The sequence below is a fragment of the Homo sapiens genome, chromosome 8, assembly GCF_000001405.40.
Source record: "Homo sapiens chromosome 8, GRCh38.p14 Primary Assembly".
In the NCBI taxonomy this organism is placed as follows: domain Eukaryota; kingdom Metazoa; phylum Chordata; class Mammalia; order Primates; family Hominidae; genus Homo; species Homo sapiens.
Window position 1 is genome coordinate 17361915 of NC_000008.11, and position 15590 is coordinate 17377504.

A 15590-nucleotide genomic window follows, 5' to 3' on the forward strand; every position below is an offset into this window, starting at 1 on the left:
TGCATCATGATGTGGTTTCTTTCAATCCTGTCGTGTTATCTCTGTCTTTATATACTGCCTTTGATGCTTGTGAAGCCCAATAGCCCCACTGTTTCCCTCTCTCCACTAAAATCTAGGATTTGATTTTCTTGCTCTGCTCTTGCCATTTAAGGGAAGTGTAGAGACCAGCGCTATCCAACAGAAATATAATGTGAGCTATGTATGTCATTTTAAATGTCCTTGTAGCCACATTAAAAAAAAGTTAAATTAATTTAACAATCTATTTTATTTAGCCCAATATATCCAAAATCATTATCACTTCAACATGTGCATGATATAAAACTTACTAATATTTGATACATTTTGTTTTGTGCTGTCTTTGAAATTTCACATGTATTTGGCACTTAACCGCATACCTCAGTTTGCAGTAGCGCTGAACAGCTATCTGTGGCCAGTGGCTACCACCTTGGACAGTGCAGATCTAAGCATTTCTGATGATAATAAAGGATAACTGATACTCAGACCTTGTTTTGTTCCAGATTCTGTCGCAATTAAGTGCATTAATCCAGTTAGTAGGCAACATTGATGGTCCTCATTTTACCGACGAGAAATCTGACGCAAACGGGAGGCACACTCCCTCCCTCAGAGTCACACAGCCAGTTACCGGAGAGTCCAGGTTTAAATGAGACATCTGGCTGCAGAAGGCCTGCTCCTAATTGTAACACACCCTCCCCAAACGCAGATCCTTCTCTCTTCTTCTTCCTTCCTCGTTCCAGGCCCCTAATCTTCCTGTTTTTCTCCAATATACTTCTTTCTCATAGCTTTCCTAGGTCCTCCTATGTCCTTAGCATAGTGATAGTATTCAGTGTGAACAATTTAAGTTTCCTAAATACATGTATGTGTAGCCCTTTATAGAATCTTGCCACCAGCAAGAGGCTGCAGCAACACACAGGCAGCCTGACATGAAAACTCAGGTTTCAAACTTGAGATGACTCATCTGCATGGAAGAGGAAAGATAAGGGTCATATTTTAAGCACCAGATTTCTTCATTTTTCTTGAGAGTAAGAAGCAACTGCTGTATGTCAGTGAGATAAATTATATTCTATTTCAGTCTTTCTCCATGTCATGTTTCTAAACTTCAAAACTTAGAGTACGGACTATTTGGACAAATAACAAAATACGCACATCCAGGCGTGCTCACACACAAACCAGAGCAGACGCGTTCCGTAAAATCAATTTCTTATCATCTTAGCTAATGTTGCTGACAGCATGTGAAACCTCAGATCCTGTTCTGGGAACAGTTGGCTCAACATTGACACATCTTTTCCATCTCTAAGTACCATTTTCATGACTCAGGCTTCTGCTACCATAATGTTAACCACAAATGCAAGTTGTTTAGGATGCCAAAGGAATCTCTTGAGAAAGCCTCAGTTCCCTGAGTGAAAGAAGAGCTACTGAATATGGGGTAATAATGGCAGTTAAGTTCTCTTTGTTAAATATTTACAAATAGCTTTAAAGGTAGAAGAAGAAAAACATCCTATGACTACTGACAGTTTTCTGCGTGTGGGCTGATACCTGTTTCCACTGGGAAGAGGCAACGAAATTATCCATAAATTACAGCAAGAATAATTTATAACAGACATTAAGCAGATCACTGTTGAACTAGGAGACCTTAGGATGGGTTGACACTGAAATTATGAAATTTTCCCTTTTTTAAGGAAAAGGGTGATCAACCAATCCTTATGCCCAATTTAAGGAAAATTGTACACGAGGGCCAGGAAAAGCCCATTTTTGTCAGCCAACAGTCATGTCAATATGGGCAAGCTTCTTACCCACAGGCAAGCCCAGATACAGCCTGCAGACTCTGCCTACTCTAAGAAATCGAAAAGCGCCACTAGCACAGATGAAAGTTTTACTGAATTGTTCCCATGTCATAATTTTCTGTTCTTTTCGTTCTCTACTTTTACCAAATATTTAGCAGAATGTTTAGCAATTAGCTGGGAGGCAAGCTTAAAAAAAAAAAACCTAGGGCTTGACAATCCTTTTTTTTTTTTGCTTACAGACTTTTTAATAATATATTGATGAATTACAGTTTCATATATTTCTGGGGTAAAAAGTGTTGCTATTATTTTTTTTTTTTTTTTTTTTTTTTTTCAGACGGAGTCTCGCTCTGTCGCCCAGGCTGGAGTGCAGTGGCGCGATCTCGGCTCACTGCAAGCTCCGCCTCCCGGGTTCACGCCATTCTCCTGCCTCAGCCTCCGGAGTAGCTGGGACTACAGGAGCCCGCCACCACGCCCGGCTAATTTTTTGCATTTTTTTTTAGTAGAGACGGGTTTTCACTGTGTTAGCCAAGATGGTCTCGATCTCCTGACCTTGTGATCTGCCCGCCTCGGCTTCCCAAAGTGCTGGGATCACAGGCGTGAGCCACCGCGCCCGGTCAAAAAGTGATGTTATGATTTTTGACTACAATGTGGAATGATTAATTCAAGCTAATTAACATATACATTGCCTCAAGTATTTAACATTTTTTGTAACGAGAACATCTGAAATTTACTCTTAGCGTTTCGAAATGTACACTACTGAACTATTACCTATACTCAACACACTGTGCAACAGATTTCAAAATAATGAGACTTATTCCTCCTGCCTGAGGCTTTGCAGCCTTTGACCATCATCTCCCCACGTCCCCCACCCCCAGCCTCTGGTAACCACCATTCTACTCTCTGCTTCTATGAGTTTAACTGTCATAGATCCCACATGTAAGTGAGAACATATGGTATTTGTTATGTTTGGCTTTTTTCACTCAGCATAATGCTCTCTAATTCCATCCATGTTGTCACAAATAACACAATGTCTTCCTTTTTAAGGCTGAATAGCATTCCATTATTTGTATATACCATGTTTTCTTTATCTCTTCATCCAATGATGGATACTTAAGTTGATTCCACAACGTGGCTACTGTGAATAGTGCTGCAACGAAAATGTGAGAGCAGACGTTTCTTTAACTTACCGATTTCAATCTTTCCAGTAAGCACTCAAAAGTGGGATTGTGGAATCATACGATAATTCTATTTTTTGTTTGTTGTGGAACCTCCATCTGTTTTCCATAATGGCTTGTACTAATTTACATTCCCACCAACAGTGCATAAGCATTCTCTTTCCTCCCCACCCTTGCCAAAGCTTTGTTGTCTTCCATCTTTTTGGTAAAGGTCATTCTAACAGTTGTGAGGCGATACCTCACTGTGGTTTTAATTTGCATCTCCCTAATGATTATTGAGGTTGAGCGTTTGTTCATGTATCTGTTAGCCATCTATGTCTTCTTTTGAGTAATGTCTCTTGAGGTCCCTTGTCCTTTTCTTAATCAGAGTACTTGTTTTTTTTCCTATAGAGTTGTTTGAGTTCCTGACATATTTTGGGTATTAATCCTTTATCAGGTATATGGCTTCCAAGTCTTTTCTTCAATTTCCTTTGTTATGCAGAAGCTTCTTATATTTTAGACAAATCTTTAATATTTACAGAATCTGAACAGAGAGAAAATATTTGCCCACTCTAGGAAGGTCATATCCCTCACCTGATTTTCTACCCACTCTTAAAACAGGCATGTTAAAAGCTCCTCTGGCTTTTCCCATCACAGTCTAAGCCAGCATATCCAACTAAAACATCTTTTGCTGTTAGTGACCAGCAGCTTTCAGCAGGAAGTGCAACGAAGGCCTCACCCTAAGGGGCCCCATTACACAAGAGCTCCTCCAATAAGAAGCAAATACTCAAAATGCCTTTGGACTGTGGGAGTAAACTGAATGTGCACCTTTAATTTTTAAAAAACATTCAGAAAAAGTTAAGTGGAAATCTTGGTATTTACAGTATCATATATTATCTAATTAAATCATATAACTAATGAAACAGGAGTCCAGCTTTAATGTTTTTCTACCCAGAAAGCAAAATGATAATTTCTAAAATACTACACGAAATTAAGGATGAGTAACAGTTTGGCTGTTTCTAGGAAGACCAAATCAGTGTTTCAGTTGAAAGCATGAGCTCAACCCAAACACAGAGATCCATGTTTTGGCTGATCTTATTCTAGCACCGGTGTTCATTGTGCTCCCCTTAACCTAGGGAAGCCTAGGGCACTACAGTGCAGCTCAGTCTCTATTGCTCTCCTCGGCTCCTTCACTCTCAGATAACCCCACTTCCTACTTCCCATAGAAAATGCAAGACATCAGGTACAAACTCTCAACTTGGAACCACCAGGTGAATAAATGGGGCTGCATCCGTATACAACCTTTGCTCCTTCTCTCCCATATAAAGGAAAGGGTGCTCCTTCTGCCAAATAAGGGAGAGATGAGGGTACAACAAAACATTAGGGAAGGAAGGAAAATAACCTAGCTTGTTCCCTAGGTATCAAGTTAAAGGTTATAAAAACAGAATATTTAGGATAAATATATGGAGTAATTGCCTCTCATTACAGACTAACTGGGAGAAGCAATAAATAATGTAATATTAAAATCAAAAGTATTTTAAAAATGAAAAGAAAAAACAAACATGAATCAGCATCAGCAGAATGGGAAGGGTGGGAAAGGGAAGGGAAAACTTACCAACAGTCATCAGGACACAGAGATGTGAGCATTTTTTTTAATAACCAAAGTAACTACTGAAAGCTAAATTGCATCAAACATTATGCTGAATTCAGGCAACTTAAAATAACTGTAGTTGAGGCCGGGCGCGGTGGCTCACGCCTGTAATCCCAGCACTTTGGGAGGCCGAGGCGGGCGGATCATGAGGTCAGGAGGTCGAGACCATCCTAGTGAACACGGTGAAACCCTGTCTCTACTAAAAATACAAAAAATTAACCGGGCGTGGTGGCGGGTGCCTGTAGTCCCAGCTACTCGGGAGGTTGAGGCAGAAGAATGGCATGAACCTGAGAGGTGGAGCTTGCAGTGAGCCGAGATCGAGCCACTGCACTCCAGCCTGGATGACAGAGCGAGACTCCATCTCAAAAAAAAAAAAACTGTAGCTGAAAAACCATTTAGAGTGGGGTGAGAAGATAATACAGCTATTACTGGATTTTGCATATTTAAAATAAAAATGAGGGTGCCTCACCTTATCTGTCTTGTTTTAAGCAAACAAGTGTTGAAATTAAATATTAGGACTGTTAAAGCTAACACAGTGGAAAAGGGCTGCTACGCTCTGATAAAAAAGAAATTACCACTGCAAAGATTGCTTAAACATCAATGACTTATATAAGGAATATAAAAAGTTACCAATAAAGCAAATGAGACTACTTCAATCATGAGATTTTTTCTAAAATAAAAAATATCCAAAAGAACTGGGGACTAAAATACTAAAAAGAAACTAGTTTAGGAAAAGGGGGAAAACAAACAAAAGAAATTATTTAAGTGTTGAAGTACCCACAAACACTAAGGAGGGGAAGATAATTGATACAAAAATAAACAGCAGGAGGCAAATTGGAGGGAAGAGAGGAGAGAGGACATGGGAAAAGCTGAAGGCCTCTGAGAAACGGGTCTTTTCATCAGAAAAGTTCAATCCTTATTAATACATTAGATCTACAAGGTTAACTGATCTCATTTGACCCACAACCCTTATTTTAACCTAACTTAGTTCTTTACCAAGAATGAAACAGCTTCCTGCATTTGGGCATGTTATGTTTTGCCTGAGATCTTCTACAGTCTGTGACCAAATTGTTATCAATCTTTATTCACACAAAAAGCAAACCAATAAAGTCTCTAATTTTTTAATAATTTGATTTACCTTATACCAGAAATCCTAACTCAGTAAAGAGATAATCTCGACATTTATTTTAAGTTGCCTGAATTCAGCAGAATGTCTGAAGCAATTTCCCTTTCAATAGTTACACCGGTTCTAAAACACCTCACACCTCTGTGTCCCTCTGCTAACAGCTGGAAACTTTTCTCTTCCCTTCCCCACCCTTCGCATTCTGCTGATGCTAAGGTTTGGGGTTTTTTTTTTTTTTTTCTATTTTTAAAGTACTTTTGATTTTAATATTAAATTACGACAGCTTTGAAAATATCTCCTTCAGAGACCTTGACTTAAATGAATTCCCAAACATTTCTTCTTATGTAAAAAACAACTGTTTTGTCCTCTGTAGCAGCGGTCCACAACCTTTTCGGTACCAGGGACCAGCTTTGTGGAAGACAATTTTTCTGTGGATGGGGGTGTGGGGTTGGGGGATAGTTTCAGGATGAAACTCTTCCACCTCAGATCATCAGGAGCACACAACCTAGATCCCTCGCATGTACGGTTCACAATAGAGTTCATGCTCCTAAGAGAATTAATGCCACGAGTGATCTCACAGGAGGTAGAGCTCACGCTTGCACGCCCGCCACTCACCTCCTGCTGTGCTGTGCCGCCCGCTTCCTAACCCGCCATAGACTGGTACCTGTCTGCGGCCCAGGGGTTGGGGACCCCTGCTCTACAGAACCTTACAGTTAGCTGGGTGTCCATAAATAAACTGAAAATATGTGAACTTTGTTGGTGACTAACCAGAATATCGAGAGAGCTACATTTTACTACTAGAATTCAAAGTACACCTCCCTCACCAACTACACACACACCCTTATTCTCATGCCCTTAAAGGCAGTGGACGGTGTCTTTTATAAAATATCTTCAGATGGTTCTGAAAGACCACCCCATCCCCCAGTTGAAGGCAACTGTTTCATGTCTAACCCCTTCCACATTTCCCCATCTCCCTCCAGAGTCAAAGTCCTGCTTCCAAAGTTACAGCCTATAATATGCCCTAATGTTAGCAATGCCTTTAACATTACACTGTGAACTGCTTGTGATCTGTTTCACCTTCCACACTTATTAAAGCACTACATTTTAGGCAAACTGGCATTTCTAATGCCCATGTTTCAAAATGCTGGTGATTCTTTTTAACTCCTCTTAGGTGATGGCTTTGATTCAGTGAATGACTATGATTTCTTTTAGAAAAGGTAGCCAGTCAGATCTCTGTCTACATCTAATACCTAACTCCCTTCATCTTTTAAGGAAAAAGTATCTCTTTTCGAAAATGAGGGAACACAGTAATTTCCCCCTCAGGGATCCTCACGGCGAGAGTCCTGGCACTCGCTATCTCTGGGCCATGACCCTCCTGGTCCCTGTGATTCACTCATCACCAGCTGCTCAGCCCTTTCCCAGTTCGCTGGGCTATTCCTAAATCCCATTAATCCGCTCAGAGCACATTTATCGCCTAGTACTTCCATTAATCAGTGACACAGAAACTGTTAGCACAGAATTCTCCTCACATTATCTGCTGCGTGCAACCTAATGTACATCTTCCCAGAACTTCTGTTCCAATTTTAGTGCACCCTCCAAAAAGTTCAACTGCTTTTCTGCCTTACTCTGCCTTTCTTTTAACACACTTGGATGAAAAAGCCTCAACCAACTGCCTTTAAAGAGTAACAGTGCAAAGTAAAAACTACCAGATTTTGACAGCTCCCTGGCGTCATTTCCATTTAGTAACTTTAGCTCTTAGCTACCTACAAAGAATATGGACAAATCATAAGAAACTTAGGATCCAACCAAATGCCTTGAAAAGTTCATAATTGAACTTCTTGTCCTGAATCAAAAAGCATTTGGCAAAGTAATTATCAGCACATATCTTATTTCCTTTATTAACTACTTCTGTGTAGCACAACTTCTATATAAATGATCTCTTTTCACTGTATTCTTCCAAGAAACTTAGAGTATAGTAGAGTATATTTCTTTTTTTCTTTTTTTTTTTTTTTTTTTTTTGAAACAGAGTCTCGTTCTGTCACCCAGGCTGGAGTGCAGTGGCAAGATCTCAGCTCTCTGCAACCTTCACCTCCCAGGTTCACGCCATCCTCCTGCCTCAGCCTCCCAAGTAGCTGGGACTACAGGCGCACACTGCCACGCCCAGCTAATTTTTTGTATTTTTAGTAGAGACGGGGTTTCGCCGTCTTAGCCAGGATGGTCTCAGTCTCCTGACTTTGCAATCCGCCTGCCTCGGCCTCCCAAAGTGCTGGGATTACAGATGTGAGCCACCGCGTCAGGCCGAGTATATTTCTTTTAAGGAAAACAACACCACAACTCACACAAGCCACACAGAGAGGCAAGAAACACTTCTGTAGAAGCGAACAGTAAGCTATAAATCCGAAGAGCCCAAGATGACGGCTGGAACAAGATAGCAATGGCAAGAACATATTTTTCAAATCCAAATGTTCTTCCTACCACATTAAGTTTTTTTTTTTTTTTCCAGGAGAATCAGCAGATCCATACCCTGAATAGTCACTGATGCTAGTCTAGTTGTATCAACCTTGGAAAAAATAAATTATTATCAAAAAGCAATGGAGGTGCAGGCATGGTAGTTCACTCCTGTAATCCGAGCACTTGAGGCCGAGGCAGGTAGATTACTTGAGGCCACGAGTTCAAGACCAGCCTGGCCAACATGGCAAAACCCCACCTCTACTAAAAATACAAAAATTAGCAGGGTGTGGTGGTGGGCACCTGTAGTCCAGCTACTTGGGAGGCTAAGGCATGAGAATCGCTTGAACCCAGGAGGCAGAGGTTGCAGTGAGCTGAGATTGCACCAGGAGGCAGAGGTTGCAGTGAGCTGAGATTGCACCACTGCACTTCCAGCCTGGGCGACGGAGAAAAAGTGCCTCAAAAAAAAAAAAAAAAAAAAAAAAAACCAAAACCCCAAGAAACAAAAAAGCAATGGAGACCAAACCTTAAAAGCATCAAGAGGGAGAAAACTGCGCTAGAACTGTCTGATAACATTTTCCACACAAAACAACTGATTAGTTCTGTCACTGGCCCCATTCAAGGTGGCTCGATTACCACAATATAAGAAGTGCATAACTTAAAGGCAATTTCACCCCAAAAGGAAAGCATCCTATAACCCCACCAAGATTAAGTTAATACTAAGATTCATGAAAGAGACTCACATAATAAATAACTCGGGGGAGACTCTAAAAAAACAAGAAACTCTGTATCAGATGATCATTCGGGCTTATCCTCTCCTGAGAACGAGACTGACACATAATCCCTGAACCCCTATCATTCCTAAGCACCATACAAATTCTTGAATCTGATTTGCAAATTTTTAAGAGAGGTTCCATATTAAATGCCGAGTTCCTCTGCCCTACCTGGCCTTGCAAGGCGTATCAGGGAGATGTACACGTCGTGGCAATCTCTTTCCTGAGGTATGATGAGCTGTATTATCTGAAAGTTCTTGCAGCGAATCAGCAGAGGGCATCCGGTAGCGGTTGTTGCCTGTTTCTCAATGGTGGAAATCTGACTGTGAAGAATCTAGAACCAAATGTTAATGTGCATAAGCTAAGCACAAATAACTAATGAATACGACAAGGACTAACATTTCTTTGTGGCTCAAAGAAAGACAAGAAACGCTCCCCAACCTCCAGCTAGCTCAACCCTTGCGTTCAGATGACAAGCACTGAGATGTTCCAGGTAAGAACCAACTTCCTAAATTTATAATTTTATTTTTCAATACCAAGCTTCCTGATATCCAGGACAGTTATTTTGAAGTAAACCATTCAGCATATAAATTTGCACAAGTCCAGGTATGGAAACATTTTGGTAGTCAAATATTGAATGCGCTTAATAGCTAAAATTAAATAAGGTCATGAGAAGTTAGTAAAATAAACTTCTGCAGTCAACACAAGTTAGAGATGGCTCCGCTGGGAGGTGCCACCATGCTCCTTAATTCCACATGGAATGTTCGAGTTCTGTATCAACATGGGATTGTTGTTTTCTAAGCTGTTGGTGGTCGGGCAGGCTGCAAAAGAAGGGATTTATTTTATCTTTTTATTTTTTAAATTAATATTTTTATTGCAAATCATAGTTGTACACATTTATGGGCTACAGTGTGATGCTGTGATATATGTACATCATACGGAATGATTAAATCAAGCTAATGAGCATGGCCATCACTTACCTATAGTTTTTTTTTTTTTTTTTTTTTTTTACAGTGAGACCCTTGAAATTTACTCTCATAATTATTTTGAAATATACATTACTATTGAGTATGGTCACCTTGCTGTGCAATAGATTTCCAGACTTTTCCTCCTGTCTTTTGGAAACTTTGTGCCCTTCAATCAATATCTCCTCATTCCCTCCCCCTCCTCTGCACTCCCAGCCTCTGGTAAAACCATCATTCTACTCTCTAAAGAGGAGATTAACTTTAAAGGAAATCATACTGAAGTGCATCTCTGGTGTTACAGGAGGGTCTATGCTCAGTCTTCAATAGCAGCATTTTAATCTTTAAGTTTCCCCTCCACTAAGAAGTGCCTGCCACCTTCTGCTAAAAATGTACCACTGTGCACGAAATACAGCAAAGGGAAATCTACAATTCAGGGATGTCATGATTGGGTTGCTGAAAGAATAATAAGGCCACACACGGTGGCTCATGCCTGTAATCCCAGTACTTTGGAAGGCCAAGGTGGGCAGATCACTTGAGGTCAGGTCAGGAGTTTGAGGCCAGCCTGGACAACATAGTGAAACCCTGCCTCTACTAAAAACACAAAAAAGTCAGCCAGGCGTGGTGGCGCGTGACTGTAGTCCCAGCTACTCAGGAGGCTGAGGCAGGAGAATCACTTGAACCCAGGAGGCAGAGGCTGCAGTGAGCTGAGATCGCATCACTGCACTCCAGCCTGGGCAACAGAGTAAGACTCCATCTCAAAAATAATATTAATAATAATAATTATTATTATTTAGTGATGTTCAAATATCTAATGGTTTCATTAATAAGTAGGAGAAATACCTGATGATGAAGCTCCTCTAGATTTTCTTTCTTTTTAAAATTATCAGAAAAGTAGAGGCAATGTAATAAAATGACCAAATGGCTGCATTACAGGACCCTGCAAATAGAGACTATTGCAAATGGAGCACTGGAGGATGACAATGCTGAATCTGGCCTACTGACATTATTGAATCTCTCCTTGACAGCTGTGACAGGAAGCACTTGTATCTTCTGGCTAGTTCTAAGTCTCTCTTCACTGATGTTCAAATAATTCATGTTTAAAATGAATAGTCGATCAAGTAGATACGACTGCACAGAAAAAGTCCAAACACACATTCCAGAAACAGTTCCCCAACATCCAGGCACAAAAGCCCACCCATCTCACCCTGAGGAAAAATGAATGGAGGGCAAACACTTTTTGCTTCAAACAACGCAAAACAAGGAAAGCTAAAAATAAAGAAAGCATACCCATGTTTCTTTTCTTGGGTCAGGTGAATTTTCCACGAATATGACATGGGTAGCCGTCAAATACAAAGTACCTAGAGCTGCTTTTTTAGGAGACACTCGATCTACCAAGCGGACATTTTCAACCTAGAGAAATCGGCATGATGAAAAGAGTTACCGTAAAGCAGAAGAGCAATTCACGAAATAAATGATAACAGGGTAAACTCACACTTACTCCAAAATACAATTTTTTGAGAATTCCCCCAATAATAAAAACCAAAAACTTCCCCTTAAGTTAATCGGATCTCAGAGTAGGATTGTGTATATTAAAAGATGAACATTCACCAGTTACGAAAATATGAGTTTAAAGGTACCACAAAAGATGTGTAGATCCTATTAAGAATACCCTCTCTGGGTTTTACAATGGTCAACGCTTTCATTTCATTATAATTATATTACATTTCTAATTTAAAGCAGAAAGTGTATGTGTTAATGTTCTGAGTTTACACTATGTATCAATTACATTCTATGAAAAAGAAAAAAGCACATTTTCCTATGTGTTTCTAGCTTGTAGAAATGGCCTTAAGGCTCTTTGCTTCCATACAAACTAGTAGCAAGTATAAACATACATACGGGAGAAAAAAGTATCAGAGAAATGTGGAAAACATACCATCTCAAGATCCTTACATTCATTTATAACAAAATCTTCCTAATGAATGGCATTATCACCACTCAGCTAAAATCCAAACTGCTAGAAGAGATTTCTGGAAACAATTTTTACAAAGCATACCTCTCTCATATGCAGACCAATTTTAAGGACATGTGCACTGAGATCATCCTAACATGAAATGTAATGGAAATGACAAGACAATCTCTACAGAGCGAGAGAAAACTGAAGCAATGGTAATTCTAGTAAGACACAGCCACCATAACCACCAGAGGAACATTCCTGTAATGACCACAGCGCACAGCAATCCTACCACTGCCAAGGATCAACCACCTGCAGAGAAACACTGACTCATCCCTCAAGCCAAAATGGTATTTGCTTCCATGCAGCTTAGGAACTAACGCATTGTATTCGCTCCATTCTTCAGTTTAAATAGAAGCTGTGGGCCGGTGCAGTGCCTCACATCTGTAATCCCAGCACTTTGGGAAGCCGAGGCGAGTGGATCACCTGAGGTGAGGAGTTCAAGACCAGCCTGGCCAACGTGGTGAAATCCCACGTCTCTACTAAAAATACAAAAATTGGCCGGGAGCGGTGGCTCACGCCTGTAATCCCAGCACTTTGGGAGGCCGAGGCAGGTGGATCACGAGGTAAAGAGATCGAGACCATCCTGGCCAACATGGTGAAACCCTGTATCTACTAAAAATACAGAAATTAGCCGGGTGTGTTGGTGGGTGCCTGTAGTCCCAGCTACTCAGGAGTATGAGGCAGGAGAATCGCTTGAACCCAGGAGGCGGAGGTTGCAGTGCGCTGAGATTGCGCCACCGTACCGTAGCCTGGCGACAGAGTGAGACTCCATCTCAAAATAAATAAATAAATAAATAAAATAAAATAAAAGCATAAAAACTAGCCTGGGGTGGTAGCAGGTGCCTGCAATCCCAGCTACTCGGGAGGCTGAGGCAGGAAAATCACTTGAACCCTGGAGGCAGAGGTTGCAGTGAGCCAAGATCGTGCCACTGAACTCCAGCCTGGGTGACAGAGTGAGACTCCATCTCAAAAAAAATAAATAGGCCAGGCACGGTGGCTCACGCCTGTAATCCCAGCACTTTGATCATGAGGTCGGGAGTTCAAGACCAGCCTGGCCAACATGGTGAAACCCCGTCTCTACTAAAAATACAAAAATTAGCCAGGCGTGGTGCCCGGCACCTATAATCCCATCCACTCGGAAGGCTGCGGCAGGATAACTGCTTACAACTGGAAGGCAGAGGTTGCAGTGAGCCGAGATCGCACCACTGCACCCCAGTCTGGGCAACAAGAGCAAAACTCCTTCTCAAAAATGAATAAATAATAGGAGGTGTGGTCCTGATCTAGTTTGGGAGTCTCAGACTTCCCATCTACTCCAAGGGAGAGCCAGGGGAGTAGCAGACCTCGTGAACATTCCTCAAAACACCAAGAGCAAACAGGACCCAAGACCTCCCATTGCCTCAGTCTCCTCTAAGCCCTTAGAGCCAAGCCAGCCCTCTAGGAGTAGCTCTAGAGGGTCCCATCTCACTTCCTCCCAGTTTTCAGAGATCTACTGAGGTCAATAAAGAATTAGGTATTATAAATATCTGTACTTATACAATTTACTCTGGAGCATTGTGAAATTCCTGAGGACTTGTGAAAGTCTATGTATGTTAAAGGCATACATTCGACAACAGTGCCCTTCACCTACTAGCTTATGTTTTTTTTTTTTTTTTACAAGAATTCTTTTGTTACTGATATGCTGCACATTCTTTTGTATGGTTATCCATCATGGTGTATTTTTTGTGAATGGTCTTCATATCACTGGTTTACTTTGCTACTGGGTGATCAGCATTTCTTACATATTTATAAGACCTGTTTATACAGTAAGGCTAGTAGCCCAAGGCCCAATGAGTTTTTATAACTGCGTCCTTACCAAACTTTTAAAAATTAATTCTAGTATGAATCTCTTGAATGTTCTGAGTAGCCAAATATTTTCTGTAATAATGTGTTGCTTCCTTTCCAATATTTATCTTTTTTCCTTGTATAATAGCATTAATTAGAAACTTCAGAGTAACTATAAATAGCATGGAGACTACAGTCACTCTTGCATTGTTTTTCCTTTGTTGAATGACAGCTCTGTTGAGATATAACTCATATACCATACGGTTCACCCATTTAAATGTACTATTCAATGGTTTTTAGCACATTCACAACACTGTATACACTGCCACTGTGCAAACATTAACGCACTATTTTAAAACATTTTCATCACCGCAAAAAGAAATCCTGCACCCACTACCAGTCACATCCCAGTTATTCCCCCAACCACTCCGGCCCTAAAAAAATCAATTTACCCTCTGTCTCTATAGATTTGCCTATTCTGAACATTTTGTATAAACAGAATCATACAACATGTCATACTTTGATAGTGGTTTCTTTCACTTAGCAATCATGTTCTCAATCTACGTTTCAATCCAAGTTCATCTATTCATAGAATGTACCAGTGCTTTACTTTTTGTTGCCCCATGATATACCATTATAGGGACATATCATATTTCATTTACCAATTCATCAGTTGATAGACATTTCAGTTGCATCTACCTTTTGACTACCAGGAATAATGCTGCTATGTACTTTTGAGCATAAGTTTTTGTATGGACATATGCTTTCATTTATCTTGGCTATACTTAGGAGCAGAATTGCTGGGTCATTTGGTAAGTCATATAGTAAGGCTTTTGAAGAGCTTCTGGACTATTTTCCAAAGCAGCTGTGCCATTTAATATTCCTACCACCAATATACAAGGGTTCCAACTTCTCCACATCCTTGATAACACTTATTATAATCTCTTTTTTTGATTATAGTCATCCTAATATGCGATCTCATTGTGGTTTTGATTTGCACTTCCCTGATAGCTAACAATATTGAGCATCTCTTTATGTGCACCCATTTTTAATGGAACACTTATTATCTTTTACCATTGAGTTTCATGCTGATATTTATTATCGCATCGTGAAAGTGACCTAATCCTAGTTTACTAAGAGTTTTGATTTTTTAAAATCAGAAGTGAAAGTTATGCCTTTTTGATATGTATTTGGATAAATATTTGTTTTTTTAACTCTAGCCCTAAATTATCAATAATAGTAATAGATTTCCTAATCTTTAAAGGAGTCTTGTGTTCCTGCTATATGGCCAACTTGAAATCACGACTACGTAATTCATACACAGTCATTATATATTGATATTTTAATTCCTTGTATTTTTCCCGCCATAATTGTTATTTTGATTTGTTTTTTTTCTTTTGCATCTATACTTTTAAGAGAGAACCTCCATGCCCTAGCCTATTCATGCTGCTGTTATCAAGTGAATTAACCATGGTTATGATTACATCAATTAATCAGGAAGCTTTCAACATACAAAGTATTTATTAGTTGAAACAAGTATAGTACTTCTTTACACAGAAATCTTTAGTAATGGTTTCAACTTCTTATGTGGTTACAGATCCGTTCACTGTTTCCAATTTTTACTAAATCCCATTTTAATATTATAATACCTTTACAAATTATCTTACTGCAGATTTTCAAATTTTTACAATCTTTTAATTCTTATCTGTGGGTAAACCCCTCTCTTCTTATCCCTTCCCTCATTCCTAATACTGTGAATTGTTTTCTTTTTACCTCTTTGTGATTAGACAGGCAAAGGTTTTTCTTTAAAGTAACAGGTGTTGGATATATCAACTTTAT

General features: G+C 39.9%; 1 protein-coding gene and 1 long non-coding RNA gene across 4 annotated transcripts in view; one reads left to right on the forward strand and one right to left on the reverse strand.

The window, feature by feature from the left end:
- Window positions 1-15590, reverse strand: part of MTMR7 (myotubularin related protein 7) — a 116558-nt gene that overhangs the window by 65121 nt on the left and 35847 nt on the right. For all 3 annotated transcript variants that reach the window (NM_004686.5, XM_047422407.1, XM_047422408.1), the window contains 2 exons: window positions 11204-11326; window positions 9123-9285 (listed from right to left, as the gene is read on the reverse strand). In NM_004686.5, coding sequence (NP_004677.3) covers window positions 9123-9285; window positions 11204-11326 — 286 coding nt within the window. The remainder of the gene's footprint in view (window positions 1-9122; window positions 9286-11203; window positions 11327-15590) is intronic.
- LOC102724838 (uncharacterized) overlaps window positions 1-15590 on the forward strand; it is a 37115-nt gene that overhangs the window by 16870 nt on the left and 4655 nt on the right. The window lies entirely within an intron of this gene.